Genomic DNA, 21,593 nt, shown 5'->3' on the forward strand with positions numbered 1-21,593 from the left:
AGGTTGTGGTGAGCCAAGATTGTGCCATTGCACTCCAGCCTGGGCAACAAGAGCGAAACTCCATCTCAAAAAAAAAAAAAAAAAATAGTTCATTACAGTGCTTGGCCACATTAATTAAATATACAAGGAAGAATGATTGTTCTCAATCTTACCTGCCGCCCACCACTTTCGGTTTTATAAACTGAGGAAGCTGAGTCCGGAGAGGTTGAAACACTTGCTCCTGTTAGGTTGTTAGTTTTGGGCATAAGGCAGGGACAGCGCCCAAACAATACGGAGGAGCTGAACCCCGGCCCACCCAGCCTGGCCCCTGTCCTGCAGGTTCCTGTCCATCTGCACACAGGGTCAGACTCTGCTCACACTCTGCAGCCCAGCTGCCCCTCGGTGTAGCAGATCTCCTAGGGAACTTCATGTTCAGCGGCTGTCTCCCTATCTAGACCTTGGCTCTGTGAGGGCGCGGCTCAGGCTTGCCCACGCTCCCCACTCCCTGCAGGCCTGACTCAGTCTCTCAGTAAGTGCTGGCATAAAAGGAAGGCAGGACCATGGCAACTTACAAAGCTGTTCATGTGTTCCCTCCTTTGCACCTCACAACAATCTACAAAGTATTTGGGATTCCCATTTTACAGATGAGGAAACCGGTCTGTGGGGGGTGCTCACTTGTTGAATGAATGAATGGAGAGAGGGGAAGCAAGTTGCCCAGAGACCTCCCCATCATCCCCACCCCGCTCCCTGTACTGAGGGTGGGGCCGGGATTCAAATGCAATCTACCTGTCTCAAGAACCCACTGTCCACCAGCAAACCCTCTTTCCACATTTCTGTTTCCCAAAGTGAGAACAAACGCTGCTAGAGTCTGGTTGTTTAGGAAAGACAAGTCCCCATCCAGCCCAGCTGCTGCATCCTCTCCAGCCTCCTTGACACCGCTTCCTCACACGTGCACAAAACTGCACAGTTAGCCAGGTGCCTTTAGCTTCTCTCCTTTCATCCACATGCAGCAATTCATGGAGCTGGGTGGGAGTGCTTGTCTTTCTTTAACCAAGGAGGAAACAGCTTCTCAATAACTTGCCCAAAGTCTGCCTAACTAAGCCCTTTGACTGAAGACCTTAGACAGAGAGCCCCCTGGGGCTCAGTTTCTCCACCCATACAAGCAAGCAGGTGTCTTCAAAGCCCTATTCACCTCGTGGTGCCGAGGAAAGGGCTGTGCTCGAGCTCTGGCTGGGCACCTTAGGCAGGACTTGAGATGTCTCTGAGTGCGGGATCCCTATGTACCTCACCAGTGATAGCACCTCACATATTTGCTTATGGGTCAAATGAGATGTGAATGGGAAAGCATTCAGGAAATGCCCTCCCTACTCCCCCAGGCCCCTGGTGGTCACCTCTGGGACAGGGGCAATTCTCAAGATGACCCACAGAGGGTAGGTGTCAGATTTCAGACAAGGTTATTTTTACCCTTGGGGGTGGAGGGAGGCAGGTGACATTTGGACTGACAGTTCTAGAATGGGGTGAGGGGGCAGGGATGGGAGCAGGGCCTCTAGCGGAGAACCTTGTCTGACCTCAAGGTCCATATTCTCCCTGCCTGTGTGGGGTGACACTAGGGAGAATTCGGAACGCACTGAAAAAAATCTCATGCATTTGGTCCACAGCGAGCCAGGCTCTGTCCCCTCTGGGCCCTGGAGATACCAGAAGTAGAAAGAGTTTCTGCATAGTAGATCTTCATGGTCTGGTGTCAATCAAATTCTCCCACAATTAATTGAACCTTGTCACAATGGAGAGCACTGCAGAAGTGAGGTACACGGGTGCCCGGGGTGCTGAGGGATAAGGAGCATTACAGAGATGGCGGAGCAGGACAAGTGTTCCAGGCAGAGGGAGTGGCACGGGCAAAGGCCCAGTGCTGGGAGATGGCAAGCTGCACATGAGGACCTGAAAGAAAGCCAGTGTGACTGGGTCACGCCATGGTGCTATATAGGACCACAAGGTTCATGTCTGTTGTGTGTGCAGTAATGGAGCAATGCACCAAAACAGCAGGAACTGAGGCAGAGAAAGTTTCATAATCAAAAGGCAGCCAAACAAGGAGGTGGGAGAGAACCTCAAATCCACCTCCCTGGGGAGTTTCTCAGACTGGGGTTTTTAAGGGAATTTGAAGGAGCTGGGGGTTGCTGATTGGCCGAGGAGTGAGGGGTGGAGTCATGGGACAGGGAGAGGAAGAAACTACATTCTTGTGTTGAGTTGTCTCTTTGGAAGGAGGCTTTAGACTGACAGGTGTTGGTGGACCCACTGAAATGCAGGATTTGGGGCCGGGTGCAGTGGCTCACGCCTATAATCCCAGCACTTTGGGAGGCTGAGGTGGGCAGATGGCTTGAGGTCAGGAGCTCCAGACCAGCCTTGGCAACAAAAAATTAGCTGGGTGGCACATGCCTGTGGTCCCAGCAACTCTGGAGGCTGAGGTGGGAGGATCACTGGAGCCTGGGAGGTGGAGGCTGCAGTGAGCTGAGGTCACCCCCACTGCACTCCAGCCTAGGTGACAGAGCAAGATCTAAAAAAAAAAAAAAAAAAAAAAGCAAAGCAGAATTTTGTAAATATCTCAAAATAGAAACCTTGAGGTTTTTTTAATGTTAAAGATGTTATCTGGAAAAGTTAGGACCCTGTGGCAGGGGCTGTGTGACTTTTAAGCAATAAGCAGCTATAAGAAAGTGGGCTATAGGGCAAGCCGGTTAATGCTTAGCTATGCTTTTACTTACAGCTTATGCTTTTGTTAAAAACTTAGCAATTTAGCTTGATTAATTTTGTGAGGATGGCTTCAGTGTGAGCGAGACTGGAGGTGTGGGCGAGACTGGAGGTGTGGGCAGGGGTGGCCCATGAAGGGCCTCAGAGACCTTGTTAATAAGGAGTTCTTCCTATAAGCCAAACCCTTTCAGGATTGGAAAGAATCTTGGAGACTCTCTGGTTAAATGCCCCATTTGACAGATGAGGAAACTAAGGCCCAGACATCTAATAATAAAACTCACCTTTTTATAATCACTTACCATGTGCCAGAGATCAGGCTATACACTCTGCTTTCTGCTTTCACCATATCTTCCCCTTAAAATATAGCTGGCATTTCACATCTTATTTAATTTAAATTAGCAGATTGACTTGATTTTTGCCAAAGATGTTTTCTCTCAATAATTAAAAAAAATTAATTATTGAAGTAAAATTCACATAATGTAAACTTAACCATTTTAAAGTGACCAGTTCCATGGTTTTTGGCACATTCACGGTGTTGTACAACCACCACCTCTGTCTAGCTCTGAAAATTTCCATCACACTAAAGTACTACAATCCCTTACTCATTAGGTAGTTTTTCCCCATTCCCTCTGCCCCCAGCCCCGGCAACCACCAATCAGCTTTTTGTTTCTATAGATTTATCCGCTAATATGGATACATACAATATGTGACTTTTTGTTTCTGGTATGTTTCACTTAGTATATCTTTTTGAAATTCATCTATGTTTTAGCATGTATCAGTACTTCATTTATGTTTATGTCTGAATAACCATTCATTTGATAAAGATACATATACAGATATACATATATATCTATATACATACATATATATTACAATTTATTCATTTATTAATGGATATTTGAGCTGTTTCTACCTTTTGCTTGCTGTGAATAGTGCTGCTATGAACGTGTATGTGCATGTATTTGTACTTGTTTTAGTTCTTTTGGGTATATAACTAGGAGTGGAATTGCTGGGTCATATGGTATTTCTGTGTTTAACTTTTTGAAGAACTGCTAAACTGTTTTTCATGGCGACTCAACCATTTTACATTCCCACCAGTAATGTACACAGGTCCCGTGAATTTCCTGGCAGCAGGCCCAGGCCAGAGACCTCACATGACTGTGAGGCTGGAGCAAAGCCGCTTGTGCGCTGCCCCATGCAGCTCTGGTCCTGTTCCTCCTTCCAAGTTTTTCAGTACCAAAAAGCCCTGTGTACTGGCTTTTCTCCCATTCTACATGTCCTTGGTTCCTTAGGATCCCTCTCGGGGCTGCATGAGCCAGGCACCAGGGGTCATGATGCTTCCCCCTACCCAGGCTGTGCAGGGAGAGCTCTCACCTTCCTTTGACACTTAGAAGTCCTGTGTCAATAGTGCCAGTTCTATGAGTGAGGCTGTCACATATGCAGACTCCTTTCTGACCCCCATACCAAGGAAGATGCCAAAGTGACAAGGGGAACAAACACATTGGCCTGGCTGTGCTTGCTGCCCGTTAAGAATCTGGCTCAGCCTCAGCCTGGTGACCCTAAACAGCAATGGCAGGGTCTGGGTCAGCAAGACACAGCTCTCTCCATGCAATGTTGGAATGAGTGTCTCCAGTCTCTTATTGCTGATGGGAACCTTGTGAAAGGACCTGCATCTCCTGGACAAACCAAGACACCTATGGCAGTGCAGGCCCCACCCCCTGAAAAGCATCACACTACTTGACTGACTGACCACGCCAGCACTATGGATAAACCTCAAGCCTTTTAGGTTAACTCCTGTCTGCCACAGATTCTCAGGAAAAGAGATCATCTTTCTAAATGCAGATTCACAGGCAGATGACAGTCCATGACCTGAATAACCTCTTAGTGAAGATTTTCAGATTCTGCTCCACATTCTGGGATGCTTACCAGGGCTTCAGATTTAGGAGGAGAAAGTTTATTTTATTTTATTTTATTTTTATTATGACCTCTATCCAGGCCTCCTTTCCTTGCATGCAAAATCAGTGTGATAGAAAGGAGAATGAACAACAAGCATATTGTGGTATTAGTGAAAGAAGCACCTACCATTTGGAAGCCCAAAGAGGAATGTTTATTTTTTTAATTTTTATTTTTACTTGTAAAAATAAAATATTTAATTTATGATCTTGAAAAAAAAAAGAATTGCTAGGGTAATACGTATGAGAACTGCTAGCATAGGACCTGAGACTTAGTAGGCATTCAATAACTGTTCACCAAATGAATACATATAGGAGATGCTTCATAAAAATATTGGTTCAATTCTCTACCTTTCCAACTCCCAAATCTTGAAGAATGTCAAGTGTGAACACACTTAGTAGCTAAAGGAAAATTAAGATGTTTGATAGGACATTGGGACCATCGTTTGTCTTCTAGAATGAAGATATGATCTGATATTGTATGACAATCAGAAGCCTGAGGAACAGCCTCCTGGTATCCTTCCTCCCAGCCCTGGGGCTAGCTTTGAGGACGTATGCTCCCTATTTTACCCATGAGTTTGCTGCCCACCACTACTACCCTTTTTTTTTCTTGTCTGCTGGGAACCTCAAGGCCCATGCAGCTCTCTTTGGCAGCATCTGGATTCCTAACAATCCTCTCCTCTCTTATTTGGTTCCTTAACTTTATTTGTTTGTATTTTGGTTCCTAGTGCACGTGCATCCTGTGTGTGTCCCGGGTATGTGTGTAGGCTGCCTCAGAGCCTTTTTTGGGAAGAAGGCAGGGAATAGGCCAAAAGAGGAGCTTTGGAATGTTGACAGGCAGGAATACTCCTGCCTTGTTGGTGGGGAAAGCACCAGGAGGCTGCCCTTGGGTTTCTCTGAGAGGCTGGGGGAGAGGGAAGGGGCTGGGGCCACCTTTGTGGGGACAGAGCATGGAATTTAGTCAGCTCCCTCATACTGCTTAGAGTGACCTGGTTCAGACAATGGGGCCTTTCATGGGGCCTGGCCCACAACTCTGGAGTGGGTGCAAGGCCTCTTCTCCCTGCCCGCCCCTGGGGCCCACCTTCCAGTACCTTGTGAGAGGCAGGGGCGGGAGAGTGGGAGGAACAGGGGCTTTGCAGTTTTGCACCCTGGGTTTGAAGCCCTGCTCCATAATCACTGGCTTTTTGAATTCTCACAGAACCTCTCAAACAAGCTCGTAATCTTGCCCTGCACAGGGTTGCTGTGAGACTCTGGAGAGCTCATGGGTAGAAAGCACTGTGGAAACAGTCCACTTTGAACTATGTTTGGGTCCCTCCCAGCTGTATTTCTGTAGAAAGCACCAACTTTATAATGCTAATAGTAAGCACTCAATACATGTTAGCCACAGGGTATATGTGTGCCAGGAGCTTCATATACTTGGTGTTGTTTAATTTCCTCCCTATGATGATTCTTGGAAGTGAGTATAATAATCCCATTTTTATAGACAGGAAACCGAGACCCATAGAGGTGTAGCAGCTTGCTCAAGGTTATCAACGTTAGTTGTGGAATTGGACTTGAACCCAAGCTAGGCTGACCCCCAAGGCCTGTGCACAGCCTGTGTCAGGGTGGGTTACTCCAGAGGTCACCCAGGCGTGCTCTTCCCCTTCAGGGCAGGTAGGTCTCCTTTGCACCAGGCCTGTTGCTCCAGTTGGGGTCTGCAGGCACTGTGATCTCAGCTGGCTTATCACTTTAGGGCATACCTTCTCCAGAAGTCTTCCATCGTTTCTGGGGACTTCTTGGCCTGGCCCCCAAGCCCCTCTTCCTCTGTCTCCACCCATCCAGGTATGTAGAGCATTTTCCCACCTGCTCTCATTTGCCCCAGTGTTCACATCACCTGAACCCTTTGCCCTGACATTCCTGTCACCTGAACCACAGCCGTTCTGTTTCTCCTTTTTGCTGTTCCTTATGGCCTCTCTGTACCTCAGACCTTCCTCCCACTGTGAGTCTCAGCTCTCAGACCATTAGTCTTTTCCTTTCTCTCTTCCATGGGCATTTATTTAGCCCCAAATCTGTGCCAGGCACGTGTCCCTGTCCCGTGGAAGCATCTGTCTGATGGGGGTGGCAACTGTGAGGACAGTGACTACCCAGCTTGGTCAGTGCCATGATGGAGATGGTGAGGCTGCAGGGGCATTCTAACTCTCCCTGGGGAAGAGAGATGCAGGATGAGGAAGAGCTCACCTAGCAGACAGGCGCAGATAAACGGATTCTAGGTGGAAGTGGCACCTTCATGTTGGGGGAAGACAGCGGGAGTGAGAGTGGTGCTCTAAGGAAACGTATATGGTCTGGAGCTGAGAGTGGCTGCTGGGGTGAGTGGCAGGAGCTACGGTGGCTGGTTCTTGATCCTGAGAGCAGTGGGGAGCCATCGAAGAGTCCTGAGCAGGGGAAGTGCCTGGTGAGGCTTGCTCTTTAGAAAGGTCTATGTGCTCCTAAGGGGCAGAGCAAAGTCCCATGGTGGGTGGAGTTATGAGGACCAGGTCTCCCCGAAAGGAAGGTAGTTGTTGAGTTGGATTTGCTTTTTGGAAAGATCCCTCTGGTGCTGTGTGGAGGCTGGAAGGAGTTAGATCAGAGGCCTGTTTAAGGTCGGATCATTGGGACTTGGATACTGGGCAGAGGGAGGAAACCAAGGTGAAGCCTTGGGCCTGTTTCCAGCCCCAGTAGCCTGTGGGCCCAGTAGCCTGTGGGTCTGTTGTCAACTTGCCTAGAAGGAGCCGTGGCCCAGCAGGGCTTATATTGGCCCCCGCAGCTGGGTGGCCCTGGGCCAGCTTTTCCCTCTGTGCCTTAGTCCCCCAGGCTGTGAACGGATTGGGTGAGGGGGTCTCTCCTGCCCTGACCCTGCAGGTCTGTGACATGACTCTGGCTCAGGAGGAGGGACACAGAGCCCATGGTGTGGCTAGCTGGGGCCTAGTCTAGCATTATCAAGTCTGGCCAGGTCTGCCAGGGCCTGGGGCCAGCACTTGGCACAGCTGCTGTCTGAGAGGGCACATCTCCGACCTCTGGGTGTCCTCCTACCCTTGCAGTGGTTCAGCCCCCGCCACCCTGGTAGCTCTCTTGGCTCGGCCTGCCTGGCTGCCCAGGCCCTGACTCTATCCAGGGCCTCTCCTCTCCCTATGACTGGCCCTGGGAGGAGTGGCCCAGCTCTGGAGCCCCATTGGCCAAAACTTGCCTGGGCTGCACACACCCCTGCCTCCCAGACTGGCTGCCTGCCCACCTTGGGACTAGGAGGCCTGGCCTGGCATGCCCTAATGTGGGCAGACTGCCTTGGAGCCCAAGGAAGGAGTGGAGTCTGAAAGGCTATGCCTGGGGCCACCTGCTGCTCTGTCCCTGCTGCCTGTGCTCCAGCCCACGGCTTCTGCGCCCCTCTCTTTGAGGGGAGTGGTGGGGATAGCAACTGCGAGGCTTGTCTCTCAGTGTGCTTCAGGGGCCCTGCTTAGAGGAGCACAGTATTTCCATTCTGACAGGGTTCTAGAGCTTCCTCCCTGGGAATCTCAGCTGGGTATGCAAATCCCAGGCTGAGTTAGGCCCTGGACTCCTGGAACCAGGGGTACTTTAGGGACTGGCAATTCTCTGTCCTACTTGGTGAGTGACAGATGTGGCTTGGGAAGGGGGAGACCCTGCTCAGGATCACACAGCACTTGAGGGACACAGGTAGAATTTGAACTCAAGTCCGTCTCTGTTTGTCCCTCCACAAACCTTTGACGATGTCCTCCTGTGTGCCAGGCCCCTCTAGGCCCAATTTGTCTTTGTATTCTCTATCTTTGCCCAGGGCCCCGTACAGAGGAAGTGTTTGGTGAATGAACAAATGAACAAATGAACCAGTGAGCAAGGCACAGGTCCTGGCTCCCGTGGCATAGGGTCCAACAGGAAGGTAGGGACTCCTGATTCACAGAACAGGAAACGGGAGTGCATGGGAGGAGGGGTTGACCAGGTGAGAAGCAGAGAGAGGACCAGAGCTTAGGTATCATGACTGCTGGTCCAGGACTGTGCCCGTGTTCCCTTGTTGGTGAAATGGGTCAATAGTTCTTGCCCTCGTCCTCGTGAGGGCTCAGAGAAGTGGCGGACGTGCCCAGGCTGGTAAAGCGGGGGTGCTGTGTGTCGGCGTCCCTGTGTGTGTGTCCAGACTGCCCAGAAACCCCAGGCAGTCTGCCCCTTTTGTTCTGCCCCTTTTGTTCTGCCCAGTTGCCCTCTGCAAGTGGGCATTGTCTCCCCATTTCCTCAGCTCTCCCTAGGGCTTCTTTCTGGAATTTCTTCCCAATACCCCTGGCTATGGGAGGGGTTTGGGAAGAGTGTGGACGAATGGAGTCCTGCCTACCACCTCCCTCTACCCACTCCCACACCCCGAAAGCCAGCCACCCGTATCCATGCAGGCCCCCAGCGCACAACCAAGCGGGAAGTGCCTTGGCAGTGGTTACCATGGCGATGGGTCCTGCTGCTTGGACAACATCGGCCTTCCAGCTACCTGTGAGAGCCCGCAAGCCAGGCAGCCTGGCACCCTGCAGGCCTCCACCCTGGCTGAGAGCTCCTGGGATGGCTGTCTTCCTGCCTCCCCTTGGTGCCCAGCCTCCTACCCAGGGGCTCTTGGGAATAAGCCGTGTTTCTGGGAACCCATAAGCCGTTCTGGGTCAGACAGGCCTGGTTCAAATCCTGGCTGTACCACATGGGGGTCAGTGACTTTGAACAAGCCACCTCGGAGTGCTTGAAATTGAATTAGCTATGGGAGGCTCACTGGGGGGAATTATCTAAGGAGTATACACCAGGTGCAAGAGCTACCACTGCCAGCATCCTGCAGCCGTGGCAGGCTCACCATTGGGGCATGCTGCTCTTTGCCACTACAGCCAAGCCCAGGTCCCTGGACTCCTCATCTCAGCCCCAGGAGGCCCTGCAAGCAGTGTAGTGTCGGGGGTAGGAGCTCAGGCTGCAGCAGACCTCTGGAGTCACAGCTGAGCTTTGTCACTTACTTGGGCTCCTCATCTGTAGGATAAGGATAATAAGGCATCTGTCTCATAGGTTTGTTGGGAGGATAAAATTGGATTAGTACAAATAAAGTACTTGTAAAATTATGTGACACCTAAGTGCCATATAAACATTAGTGGCGACTGTCATCACCACCACACAATTGGCATTGGCCATGAGAATCGGAACCCATATGCCTGTCCCTCCTCATTTTTCTCACACATGCAGGTGTGCCCAGCTCTTGAGCTCATGGTCTGCTTAGGGATGGCAGGCTGCTAGCCCCTTTCCTCTTCCTCCCTTCCAAAGGACTGATGGGCACACCCCACCTCTTCTGCTTGGAGAGTAAGACATGCTGGTTCCAAGCAGAAACCCCAGCTCTAATTCATTAGTTGGAGAATTTTCTCAGCCAGTTTTCCAGCTGGCAGCTGTTGTACCCAGCCCTGGATCAGACAGCTGGTCTGTGACTGCCCACAGCCCTCCCAGTCAATAGATCCAAGTGCTAGACATTAGCGGGCCACAGAGGCTGTCCTGATGGCCTCTGAAGATGGAGGGAGCCCAAGAAAGGAGCCCTTTGGGGATGAAATCAGAGCGGCTTCTTGAAACACTGTATTAGGAACAGTTCCCTGGGCTTGACTGCTATGGAGCTCTCTAGGCCTCCCTGCATAGAGAGGCGACTCTTTCCAGAATGAACGTAAATCTAAGGCAACACTTTAAACAGTTGGCCCAGGAGCTGAAGCAAGGAGGACTGACTTCTCTGCATGGTTTTGTCTCCACTGGCCCACTCGGGTGCAAGGCCGTGTTCATGTGCAGTTCTTGGCCAAAAGGAAACTGGGCAGAAGCAGCAATCACAGATATCCTGGGGTCCGAGACCACGGGCTGGAGGGTGGTGACCACTCTCGGGTTGGGGTCTGGTGGGAGGTGGCCCTAGGTACTCTCTCTCCCCCAGACCCTAAGTTCTCAGGGCTGGACAGACCTGGGAGACCCTGCAGCAAGCAGACCTCTCTGTCCCCACCTGTCCCCACCTGTACCCCAGGGCTTGGCCTCTGTGTTCTCCAACCGCACATCCCGGAAGTCAGCCTTACGTGCGGGGAACGACAGTGCCATGGCAGACGGCGAGGGATACCGGAACCCCACGGAGGTGCAGATGAGCCAGCTGGTGCTGCCCTGCCACACCAACCAACGTGGTGAGCTGAGCGTCGGGCAGCTGCTCAAGTGGATTGACACCACGGCTTGCCTGTCCGGTAAGGCTGCGCTCCCCATGGTTCCCTACCTGCCCCACAGGCCCAGAGCAGGGGCCGTGCTTTCAGAGATGGTCACCGTCCACCCTAAGTGCCACACTTGTTTCTCATCTTGGCCTTTGCTCATGCTGGTCCCTTTGTCTGAAATGCCCTTCCTGATGTCTCAATGCTCAGCACAGCCCACTTTTCTCTCACTCAGACCCCTTCAGCCCTGAGTGTTGGTCCCAGGCCCTAAGTCCCTGCCTCAACACAGTGCAGCCTTCCACATGGCTGCTTCAGATTGGCTTGGAGATGCTGTTGAGCAAAGCCCCTGACTGCCTGCCCTGCAGCGCTCCTTCCCTTGAGTTGAGGTGCGCTGGACTGAGCCCATTTCATTCCTTTTGTTGCACCGGTGTTCTCCAACCTACAGCGCTCACAGCCTGGTAGGGTGGGGATGGGGGATAGACAGGTGACCCGACTGTTCCCCAGCACTGTTTCAGAGGCCCTGACCCAGGCCTGGGGGCAGGGAAGGGATGCCTGAGGGGCTAAGGCACCTGAGTGGAGTCCTGAGGGTGAGTGAGAATGACTCAGGCAGGGAACAGGTGGTTGAAGGGACGGGGGCTCCAGAAGGCCGGGAAGCAGGCCAGTGTGGTGTGATCACTCATTCAACAGCTACTTACTGAGTGTGTACTATGTGCCAGGCACTGTTCCAGGACTGGGGTACAGCAATGAACAAGACAGGCAAAAATCCTTGTCCTCAAGTAATTTACAATCTAGTGGGAGGGAGAGACAGTAGACAGACGAAAAGCAGATATACAGAAGATGGTCGGGGTGGTGCCCACGGTGAGGGGTGTAAGGAATGGTGGCAGCAGGGTGTGGTGGGAGTTGTGGCCTTGGCTTGGGCGGCTGGAGAAGCCTCCTGAGGAGGTGCCATCTGAGCAGAGGCCTGTGATCGGGGGAGGCTGCTAATGTCTGGCTTTCTTCTGCTGACACCAGCGGAGAGGCACGCTGGCTGCCCCTGTGTCACAGCTTCCATGGATGACATCTATTTTGAGCACACCATTAGGTAAGTGGCCCCTCCTGCCTCAAGGTCCTCTGGGCTCCCTCCCATCAGCCTGGGGCCTGTCCTCCTGACTCCCTGCCTGGTCAGCGTCTGTGCTGCCTAGAGCCTGACTCAACTGACTGAAAATGAGGTGGGGGCAGCCTCTGGGGAAGTGTGAACCCCTCTGCAGTGTTTCTGGGGGCTAGGAGTTGACCTGCTGTTCTGTGCAGTGGGTGGGTGGGTGGGTGTTCCCTCAGCCAGGGTGTGGCCGAGATAGCATAGTGGGGTGCTGCGTGACTTTGGGGAAGTCAGTCTCTCTCTCTGAGCCTCAGTTTTCTCATCTGCAGAATGGATGGGGTTAGACTTAATCATTGAGTGCCTTTTTGAGCTTGGACATTCTCTTTGGGTCCTTGGTCATTGGGCTGTAGGGAGGCCCCCTAGACAAGGTGCCTTGGCAAAGTCGGAGCCAGAAGCTTGGGCCATTCAACCTCTGCTCACATCCTTCCAGGGATGAGGAGCTCGTTACCTCATTACTAAAGTAGACTTTTTTTTTTTTTTCTTTTTTTTTGGAGATGGAGTCTCCCTCTGTCACCCAGGCTGGAGTACAATGACACGATCTTGGTTCACTGCAATCTCTGCCTCCTGAGTTTAAGCAATTCTTGTGCCTCAGCCTCACGAGTAGCTGGGATTACAGGTGCCTGCTACAAGGCCCGGCTAATTTTTTTGTATTTTTAGTAGAGACGGGGTTTCGCCATGTTGGCCAGGCTGGTCTCGATCTCCTGATCTTAGGTGATCCACCTGCCCTCGCCTCCCAAAGTGCTGGGATTACGGGTGTGAGCCACCACACCTGGCCTTTTCTTTTCTTTTCTTTCTTTTAATGGCTGTACAGAATAGAAGAATATTCATCACACGCACTGGGCTTTGCCTCCCCATAGCTTTGCCCATAGATCCTGCTTCTGGGATCCAAGGAGCAGGCTGAGCCCTCAGCCCAGGACAGGCTGCAGGGCCACACACAGAGCTCTTGTCTCTGGGCCTGATCCTAAACTCACCAGCACTAGCTAGGACATCAAGTGCCAAGGGCTTATTCAGGACTCACTGGGTGCTCAGTGTGTCACCATTAAGGAAGAAGATTGGCCAGTCCCTGTACTCACTCATTCAGTCATCAGTCATTCCCTCACCACACACTTAATATTAGATGAGCACCTTTTCCAGACCAGAGGCCTTGCTGAGACTGGGCATGCAAAGTCCACTGGAGCACAGCCTCTTCCGCGGACCTCCCAGTCTTCAGGGGAGGCAGATGTAGGAACGTCATTCAATTCGCAGTGAGAAGTTCTGTGCAATAATGGGCTCTGGGCCAGGCATGGTAGCTCACGCCTGTAATCTCAGCACTTTGGGGGGCCTACGCGGGTGGATCACGAGGTCAGGAGTTCAAGACCAGCCTGGCCAACATGGTGAAACCCTGTCTCTACTGAAAATACAAAAAATTAGCCGGGCGTGGTGGGGAGCACCTGTAATCCCAGCTACTCGGGAGGCTGAGGCAGAGAATTGCTTGAACCCAGGAGGCAGAGGTTGTGGTGAGCTGAGGTCGCACCACTGCACTCCAGCCTGCCAACCTGGGCAAGAGAGCGAGCCTCCATCTCAAAAAAGAAAAAGGCTCTGGTTTGTAATCCTTTTTTTTTTTTTTTTTTTTTTTTTTGAGACAGAGTCTTGCTCTGTCACCCAGGCTGGAGTGCAATGATGTGATGATCTTGGCTCACTGCAACCTCCACCTCCTGGGTTCAAGTGATTCTCCTGCCTCAGCCTCTTGAGTAGCTGGGATTACAGGTGCGTGACACCACACCCAGCTAATTTTTGTATTTTTAGTAGAGACGGGGTTTCACCATGTTGGCCAAGCTGGTCTCGAACTCCTGGCCTCAAGTGATCTGCCTGCCTTGGCCTCCCAAAGTGCTGGGATTACAGGCGTGAGCCACCCTGCCCAGCTGCTTTGTAATACCTTTTATTTTAGAATAGTTTTAAATTTATAAAAACATTGTATCTCTAAAGATAGTACAAGGCCGGGCGCAGTGGCTTGTGTCCAATTCCAGAACTTTGGGAGGCCAAGGCAGGCAGATTACTTGAGCTCAGGAGTTTGAGACTAGCTGGGCAACATGGCAAAACCCTGTCTCTACCAAAAATTAGCTAGGCATGGTGATATACGCCTGTGGTCCCAGCTACTTGGGAGGCTGAGGTGGGAGGATCACTTGAGCCTGGGAGGTGGAGGTTGCAGTGAGCCAGGATTACACCACTGCACTCCAACCTGGGTGACACAGTGAGATCCCGTCTCAGGATAAATAAAAAAATAAAAATAAAGATAGTACAGAGAGTTCCCATATACCCCACACCCAGGTGCCCCATGATTAACATCTTACATTTGTAGGGTACCTTTGTCACAATTAGTGCACCAATACTGATACATTATTTTGATGCCTTTTTAATTACGTTAACTTATTTGATCCTCAAAACAATACTATGTGGTCATAGCTATTAGTATCCTTATTTTACAGATGAGGAAACTGAGGCACAGAGAAATGAAGTACCTTGTTGAAGGTGGTACAGCTAATGGAGGACCCAGGATATACTACCAGGCAGGCAATCTGGGCCCAGAGCCCTTGCTCTTAACCAATGGGCTGTATTTCCTGTATGTCTGGGGGTAGGTGTCGTGGCACTGAGGGTAGTCAAGGGGGGACTTCCTGGAGGACGCATTTGAGCTGCCAGTACTGTCAGCTCTGTGTATAGTGATACTTTGAAGCCAGTGGAGCTGTGTCTGGGCCAGCTCCAGGTCCCTGTAGCCAACACAAGTTCTTTTACTTAGGGGAGCAAGGAATAGAGAGGGTTAGGGGTACATGCATGATGGCTGGACCTGCTGCAGGGCTCAGCAGAGTGAAGGTGAATCTGGGCAGAGGAGGCTGTGGTTGGAAGGGAAAGCCAGAGAGGATGCCGGGAAGGAGGACAAGCTGGGGAGGGGCCTGGAGCATGGTTGGTGGCCAGGGAAGGCCTGGACACACCTGAGGAAAGATTAAGAAGTTTTTTTGTTTGTTTATTTCTGCTTTTGCCACTTAAGAATATTTCCAAATGTATCCCTAAGGGCTAATAACTCTTTTTATATTTATTTATTTATTTATTGAGATGATCTGTCTCCCAGGCCGGAGTGCAGTGGTGCAATTTTGGCTCACTGCAACCTCTGCCTCCCAGGTTCAAGCAATTCTCCTGTCTAAACCTCCCGAGTAGGTGGGATTACAGGTGCCGGCAACCAAGCTGGGCTAATTTTTGTATTTTTATTAGAGATGGGGTTTCACCATATTGATCAGGCTGGTCTTGAATTCCTGACCTCAGGTGATCTGCTTACCTTGGCCTCCCAAAGTGATGGGATTACAGGTGTGAGCCACCATGCCTGGCCCTTTTTTTTTTTTTTTTTTTTTAGAGAAGGATTCTTTTTAAACACAACATCATTACCACATCTAAAAAATTAACAATAATTTTTCACTAACGTCACTAGTCAGTGTTCAAATGCCCAAACTGTCTCATGAATTTGTTTTTATTTTGTTTGCTTTGCAGTTATTTATTTTTTCAAGATGGAGTCTTGCTCTGTTGCCCAGGCTGGGGTGCAGTGGCACCATCATAGCTCACTGCAGCCCTGAACTTATGGGCTCAAGCGATCCTTCCACCTTAGCCTCCCTAGTAGCTGGGACTACAGACATGTGGCACCATACCTGGCTAATTAAATTTTGTATTATTATTTTGTTTTTTTGTAGAGATGAGGTCTCGCTATGTTGACCAGGCTGGTCTCAAATTCCTAGCTTCAAGTGATCCTCCCACCTCTGCCTTCTAAAGCATTAAGATAACAAGCATGAGCCACCACACCCAGCCTGCAGTTATTTTGTTATTCAAGTCAGGATGCAAATAATTGTAATTGGTTGCTTCTCTATAGGGAGGCCGAGGTGGACAGATCATGAGATCATAAGATCCAGACCATCCTGGCTAACACGGTGAAACCCCGTCTCTACTAAAAATACAAAAAATTCGCCGGGCATGGTGGCAAGCGCCTGTAGTCCCAGCTACTCCGGAGGCTAAGGCAGGAGAATGGCATGAACCCAGGAGGCAGAGCTTGCAGTGAGCCGAGATAGTGCCATAGCACTCCAGCCTGGGCAATAGAGCGAGACTCTGTCTCAAAAAAAAAAAAACAAAAAAACCCAAAAACTCTGTAGATACCCACCAATCCTCCACCAGCTCTCTGGCACCGTCTCTCTCTCTCAAAATATATTTGTTGAGGAAAGCTGGCCATGTGCCCTCTAGAGTCCTTCATCACCTGGGTTTGCTATTTGAATTTCTGTGGTGCAATTAACATGTTCCTCTGTCTCCTGAGAGTAAATTGGTGTAGGGAAGGTCTCGATGGGGGTCAGATTTGTTCATGGGGGGTCGCTTGTCTGCGTTGTGAAGAACACCTGGAAGGGTGTCCGGGAGCTCCGGGGCCCTGAGGAGGCTGGGCAGTGGCCCTGGGGAAGGATCCGGTTTGGGCCAGAGCTGTGGGGACAGAGGGCAGTCAGGAAGGAGGAGGAGCTTAGAAACCCAGATGGGTGTCTGCTTGGCTTTGGGGGAAGGTAGAGAGAGAAGGAGGGAGAGGAGGAAAAATCACAAATTCCTCTCAGCACCACAGAAAATAGACTTTTATTTTTATCTGGGGGACCACAGAAGTTTTTTGCCGTAATTTTTGATCATGAAAACTTTCAAACATATAGAAAAGTTGAATAGTACAATGGTCACCACCACTGAGACCCAATAATTAACATTTTTCTAAATTTGCTGTATCTATGTATGGACAAATAAATAAATACATATACTTTTTTTCTTGTTAAGAGACAAAGTCTCACTCCGTCACCCAGCCTGGGATGCAGTGGTGCGATCTTGGCTCACGGCAACCTCCGCCTCCTGGGTTCAAGCGGTTCTTGTGACTCAGCCTCCCAAGTAGCTGGAATTATAGGTGTGCCCTACCATGCTCAGCTTATTTATTTATTTATTGTATTTTTAGTAGAGTTTCACCATGTTGGCCAGGCTGGTCTCGAACATATGAGCTCAGGTGATCTGCCTGCCTTGGCCTCCCTAAATGCTGGGATTACAGACATAATATATACACTTTCTCTCTCTCTCTCTGCTAAACGATTTGAAAGTGAGTTGCAGACATCGTGATGCTTCATCCGTCACTATGTCAGCATGAATCTCCTAAAAATGACCCTCCCCTCCGTGACCATTAGTATTACTAAAAAAATGAACAGGAATCAACAAATGTCTGGCAAATGTGAGCTTGTGGTATTTATTGAGCTCCGGCTGTGGGCCAGGCCTGGCGCTTGGCTCAGTCCCATTCTCTCTCACTTGACCCTCAGAACCACAGGCAGTACTTTACACAGAAGGAAATGGACTCAGAGAGGCAAAGTGACTCACCCAAGGTCACACAGCTCTGTAGTGTGATGGTTAAGGTGGAGCTTGACTGGAACCCAGGCCTGTGTGGCCATTCCCACTGTGTTCACGGTGGCCCCTTGACCAGCAGGCCCCTTGGAATGGACCCTTCCTAGGCTTGGCCAGAAGACTGTGTCATTTGAGAAAGAAGTTGGCATGGCACTCTCCATGTTCATGAGCCAAGGCCCAGAGAAGTGAAAGGACCTGCTGGAGATCACACAGCAATTGAACAGGGCCGGCCTTTAGCCTCCTGCCCCTCCTCCCCACAGTCCATCAGCTGGGCACCCTCTGCCCCCTCCATTAGGCACAGCCCAGGCTAGGTGGCTCCCCTGGGGATTCATATGGATGTGGGAATCATTCCAGGAGGACAGGCTGCAGCTGGGAAAAGAGGGGCTGGTGCAGTCAACAGAGTCAGTCTAGAAGTCTGGCTCTGCCACTTTTTAGCTTGGTGACCTTGGGCAAATGACTTAACCTCTCTGATGCTCAGTTTCTCCTAAACCTACCTGCCAAGCTTATTCTGAGGTTCCAATGGCAGTGCACAGTGCCTGGCACCTAGCAGGCATTCTTTAAACATTTCCTTTTCTCATCTTGCCCTTTGTTTATAGCATCTTGCCCTTACCAGGCATTCAATACATGTAGAATGCATTAATTCAGTCAGCTACCCTTTATGGGAGACCCACCCTGTGCCATGTGCTAGGCCTTGGAGAGTCAATGGGGAGCAAAACCATGACCCTTACCCTAGTAGAGCTTAAGAACTGTGGGAGACAGAGGTCACTCTGCCAGGAGAGTGCCGCAGGGTGAGCCTCTGCAGGGCCTCTGTTGGTGGGTGGGCCACTGCAGGGCAGCGAGGGGTCCCCTGAGGAGGGGACCATTGAGCCGAGAGCAAAAAGAAGCACAGGCATTAATTGGACAACGGGGATCAGGGAACGGGGGAGCAGATGAGTGCAATCATGCTACTTCTCTCAGCCTCAGCTTAACCATCTGTAAAGTGGGGTGCTGACACTATCTTGCTAGCTGGCTTTGAGGACTTGGTGGTATCGCAGATGTGAATATGCCCTGCAAGCCATGAAGTTATCCTGCCAGCTCCCCGCAAGAGAGGCTCTGCAAGTATCTGAGGCCCCTGTTCCTCCCTCTGGCCCCTCTGGAAGGCTCACCTCCTACTTTCCTCTCCCCAGTGTTGGACAAGTGGTGAATATCAAGGCCAAGGTGAACCGGGCCTTCAACTCCAGCATGGAGGTGTGTGGGGTGGGCACTGCTTGGGAGTGGGTGCGTGGGTGGGTCCTCTACCTCCTCTCTCCATTCTTCTCCCTGCAGCCCAGGGCCACTCACACTTGCAGGGCCCTGATTAGAGCAGCAGAGTTCTGTAATGGTTGGCAGAGCAAGGGGAATCCCAAGGATCTTCCTGTCCCAAATCCCAGAACACAGACAGGAAAATCGAGGCCCAGGAGGGGAAGGGACTTGCCCCAGGTCACTGAGCTACATAGATTCCAGTGTGGGACTTGACTTCCAGGCCCCTGAGTCTCACATCCAGCCTCAGCAGCCAGGTTTTTGTGGGAATGGAGGGAAGGCAGCATGAGCGCCTGATCTTGGAGGAGGAGCTGGGGCAGGGAGAGTGCTGGGTTTCCAGCCCATGAGCTTGCCTCCCACAGCCCGTCTCCTCATCTGCAAAAGGGAACATGATTCCTCTGTGGCAGGGTTGGAGGACTGCTGGTGATGCCCAGGGTTCTGTGAGCTGTGGGGGAGGGCTCTATTTCCCACCTATGGACTTCAGGCCCAGGCAACTTCACCAGCTGGGCCAGTGGTTCCTGAGGGAGCACTGAGGCTGGGTGACATAGCCCTGACTATGCCTCTGGGCACCCCATGAATGCTCAGGTACCCCCAGGTGCCTGTTCTTGATTTTTTATTTTATTTTTATTATTGTTTTGAGATGAGGTCTTACTCTGTCACCCAAGCTGGAGTGCAGTGGTGCCATCATAGCTCACTGTAACCTCAAACTCCTGGGCTTTAGCAATATTCCTGCCTCAGCCTCCTGAGTAGCTGGGACTACAGGCATGTGCCACCACACAGCTAATTTTTGTGTGTGTGTGGTTTTTTTTTTTTTTTTTTTTTGCAGAGACAGGGGTCTCACTGTGTTGCCCTGGCTTGTTTTGAACTCCTGGCCTCAAGTGATCCTCCCGCTGCAGCCTCCCAAAATTCTAGAATTACAGGCCATTGAGCCTGGCCTATCCTTTAAATTTAGCCAACATTCTGCCTGTATGAAGCCCTGTTGTAGACATAGTCTCATTTTAATCCTCTCAACAATCCCACAAGGGTAGGTCTGATCACTCCCACTTTGTAGATGAGGAAACTGAGACCCAGAGAAGGGAAGTGACTTGCCCAAGGTTTCCCGGGGACCCAAGGGCAGAGTCAAACCCCCCCTCAGATCTCTGGCCTCCCAGACCTGGTAGGTGGTGCAGAAACTCTGGAGGCCTGGCCTGGGCTGGGACTTGCTGTCTGGTGGAGCTGCGGGGCTTCTAACTGGTGAGTGCAATGTTGTTCCTCATTCCTTCGCCCTTACTGTTCCTCTCCAGGTGGGCATCCAGGTGGCCTCGGAGGACCTGTGCTCTGAGAAGCAGTGGAATGTGTGCAAGGCCTTGGCCACCTTCGTGGCCCGCCGAGAGATCACCAAGGTAACTGGGTGCGCCTGGCTGCTGGAACGCTGCTCAGTGACCTGGGCACCTGCCATGGCGAGTCTGGCTCAGGGGAATGAGGTTAGGGGTTGGCAGAGGGGATGGGGAGGGACACAGCAGGAATCCACAGCTCCCTGAGGAAGGCCCACCCCTCATTGCATTGGAATCCCCCAGCCCCCTCTCCCCTCCTTTCCCCACCTCTCCCTGTGCTTCTCCAGCGAAGATTCTTCTGGTCTCACCATTCTGGTCTCACCATTCTGTCACCTACAGTGACACCCCCCATCCTCTGAGCCTTTGGCCAAGGAAGGGACCTGGGTGGGAGCTGGAGGATGAATATGTATCAGGTCATCGTGGAGGCAGGAAGATGGGGCAAAGAGGGAGGAAGCCTTGGAACTGAGCAGCAGCCCACGCCTGCTGTGTGCTAGCCTCGGGCATGGCATGGTGCTGGGGACAGGCCCTTGTGCTATTTCAGGAGACTTGCCCTGAGTGTCCCCCACCCTGTCCCCTGGCCGACAGGTGAAGCTGAAGCAGATCACGCCGCGGACAGAAGAGGAGAAGATGGAGCACAGTGTGGCGGCTGAGCGCCGGCGCATGCGCCTTGTCTATGCAGACACCATCAAGGACCTCCTGGCCAACTGCGCCATTCAGGGCGGTGAGCAGCTGCCAGCTGTGCATGGGGAGGGTAGCTGGCGTCCTGCATGGCCCCTCTGCCCCGGGCTCCCACTGGGCAGAGGCAGGAAGGGAGGCTCCGGGGACTTCCACCCACTGGTGGCCCTGGGCCTCTCCTAGCCCTCTTGGCTCCGAGGTCTCCTCCAGGGAAGGGGAGTGTTTGGGCCTCTCTACCAGCTCCCAGGAACCATGAAGCTGCCGTTAGGTCATGTGGAAATCCCTTTGTTGGCCACAAAACGCATTTGGGTCTCCAGAAGCCAAGGTGTTTGGGAAGATAGTATTGAGCTATAACTTGAAGACTGTAGAATTTTTTAAAAAGCATATATATATGTATGCATCTATAAAAAGCATATATAGGCCGGGCGTGGTGGCTCATGCTTGTAATCCCAGCACTTTGGGAGGCCGAGGCGGGTGGATCACCTGAGGCCAGGAGTTCAAGACCAGCCTGGCCAACATGGTGAAACCCCATCTCTACTAAAAATACAAAATTAGCTGGGTGTAGTGGCGTGCACCTGTAATCCTAGCTACTCTGGGGGCTGAAGCAGGAGAATCGCTTGGACCTGGGAGGCGGAGATTGCAGTGAGCCGAGATCACACCATTGCACTCCAGCCTAGGCAAAAAGAGTGAAACTCCATTTCAAAATAAATAAATAAGTATATAGCATATATAAAACATGTAAAAAGCATATATATATGCTTATGTGTATGTGTGTGTATATATGCGTACACTCACACACACGTATATATATTCTCACCCCTCAAAAGATAAAATAAAAAGCAAGACTCCTTTCTATCCCAGAATCCAGGTCGTCTCCCCAGAAGCATCTACTATTACCCATTTTAGGGTA

The 21,593-nt window shown here is 51.2% G+C and overlaps 1 protein-coding gene across 2 annotated transcripts in view, besides 3 other annotated features; it reads left to right on the plus strand.

Annotated features, from left to right (window-relative positions):
- ACOT11 (acyl-CoA thioesterase 11) overlaps positions 1 to 21,593 on the plus strand; it is a 90,965-nt gene that overhangs the window by 25,735 nt on the left and 43,637 nt on the right. For both annotated transcript variants that reach the window (NM_015547.4, NM_147161.4), the window contains exons 2-6: positions 10,693 to 10,900; positions 11,873 to 11,942; positions 18,584 to 18,644; positions 19,979 to 20,077; positions 20,594 to 20,729. In NM_015547.4, the coding sequence (NP_056362.1) occupies positions 10,693 to 10,900; positions 11,873 to 11,942; positions 18,584 to 18,644; positions 19,979 to 20,077; positions 20,594 to 20,729 (574 nt within the window). The remainder of the gene's footprint in view (positions 1 to 10,692; positions 10,901 to 11,872; positions 11,943 to 18,583; positions 18,645 to 19,978; positions 20,078 to 20,593; positions 20,730 to 21,593) is intronic.
- Positions 5,259 to 5,769: an enhancer, noted in NCBI's record as "H3K27ac-H3K4me1 hESC enhancer chr1:55044894-55045404 (GRCh37/hg19 assembly coordinates)". NCBI's record gives its function as "activates a minimal SCP1, AML or CMV promoter by ChIP-STARR-seq in naive H9 embryonic stem cells {active_cell/tissue: H9 hESC(naive)}" and the evidence as "EXISTENCE:reporter gene assay evidence [ECO:0000049][PMID:30033119]".
- Positions 5,770 to 6,278: an enhancer, noted in NCBI's record as "H3K27ac-H3K4me1 hESC enhancer chr1:55045405-55045913 (GRCh37/hg19 assembly coordinates)". NCBI's record gives its function as "activates a minimal SCP1, AML or CMV promoter by ChIP-STARR-seq in naive H9 embryonic stem cells {active_cell/tissue: H9 hESC(naive)}" and the evidence as "EXISTENCE:reporter gene assay evidence [ECO:0000049][PMID:30033119]".
- Positions 20,344 to 21,166: an enhancer, noted in NCBI's record as "H3K4me1 hESC enhancer chr1:55059979-55060801 (GRCh37/hg19 assembly coordinates)". NCBI's record gives its function as "activates a minimal SCP1, AML or CMV promoter by ChIP-STARR-seq in naive H9 embryonic stem cells {active_cell/tissue: H9 hESC(naive)}" and the evidence as "EXISTENCE:reporter gene assay evidence [ECO:0000049][PMID:30033119]".

The sequence above is a fragment of the Homo sapiens genome, chromosome 1, assembly GCF_000001405.40.
Source record: "Homo sapiens chromosome 1, GRCh38.p14 Primary Assembly".
Classification (NCBI taxonomy): domain Eukaryota; kingdom Metazoa; phylum Chordata; class Mammalia; order Primates; family Hominidae; genus Homo; species Homo sapiens.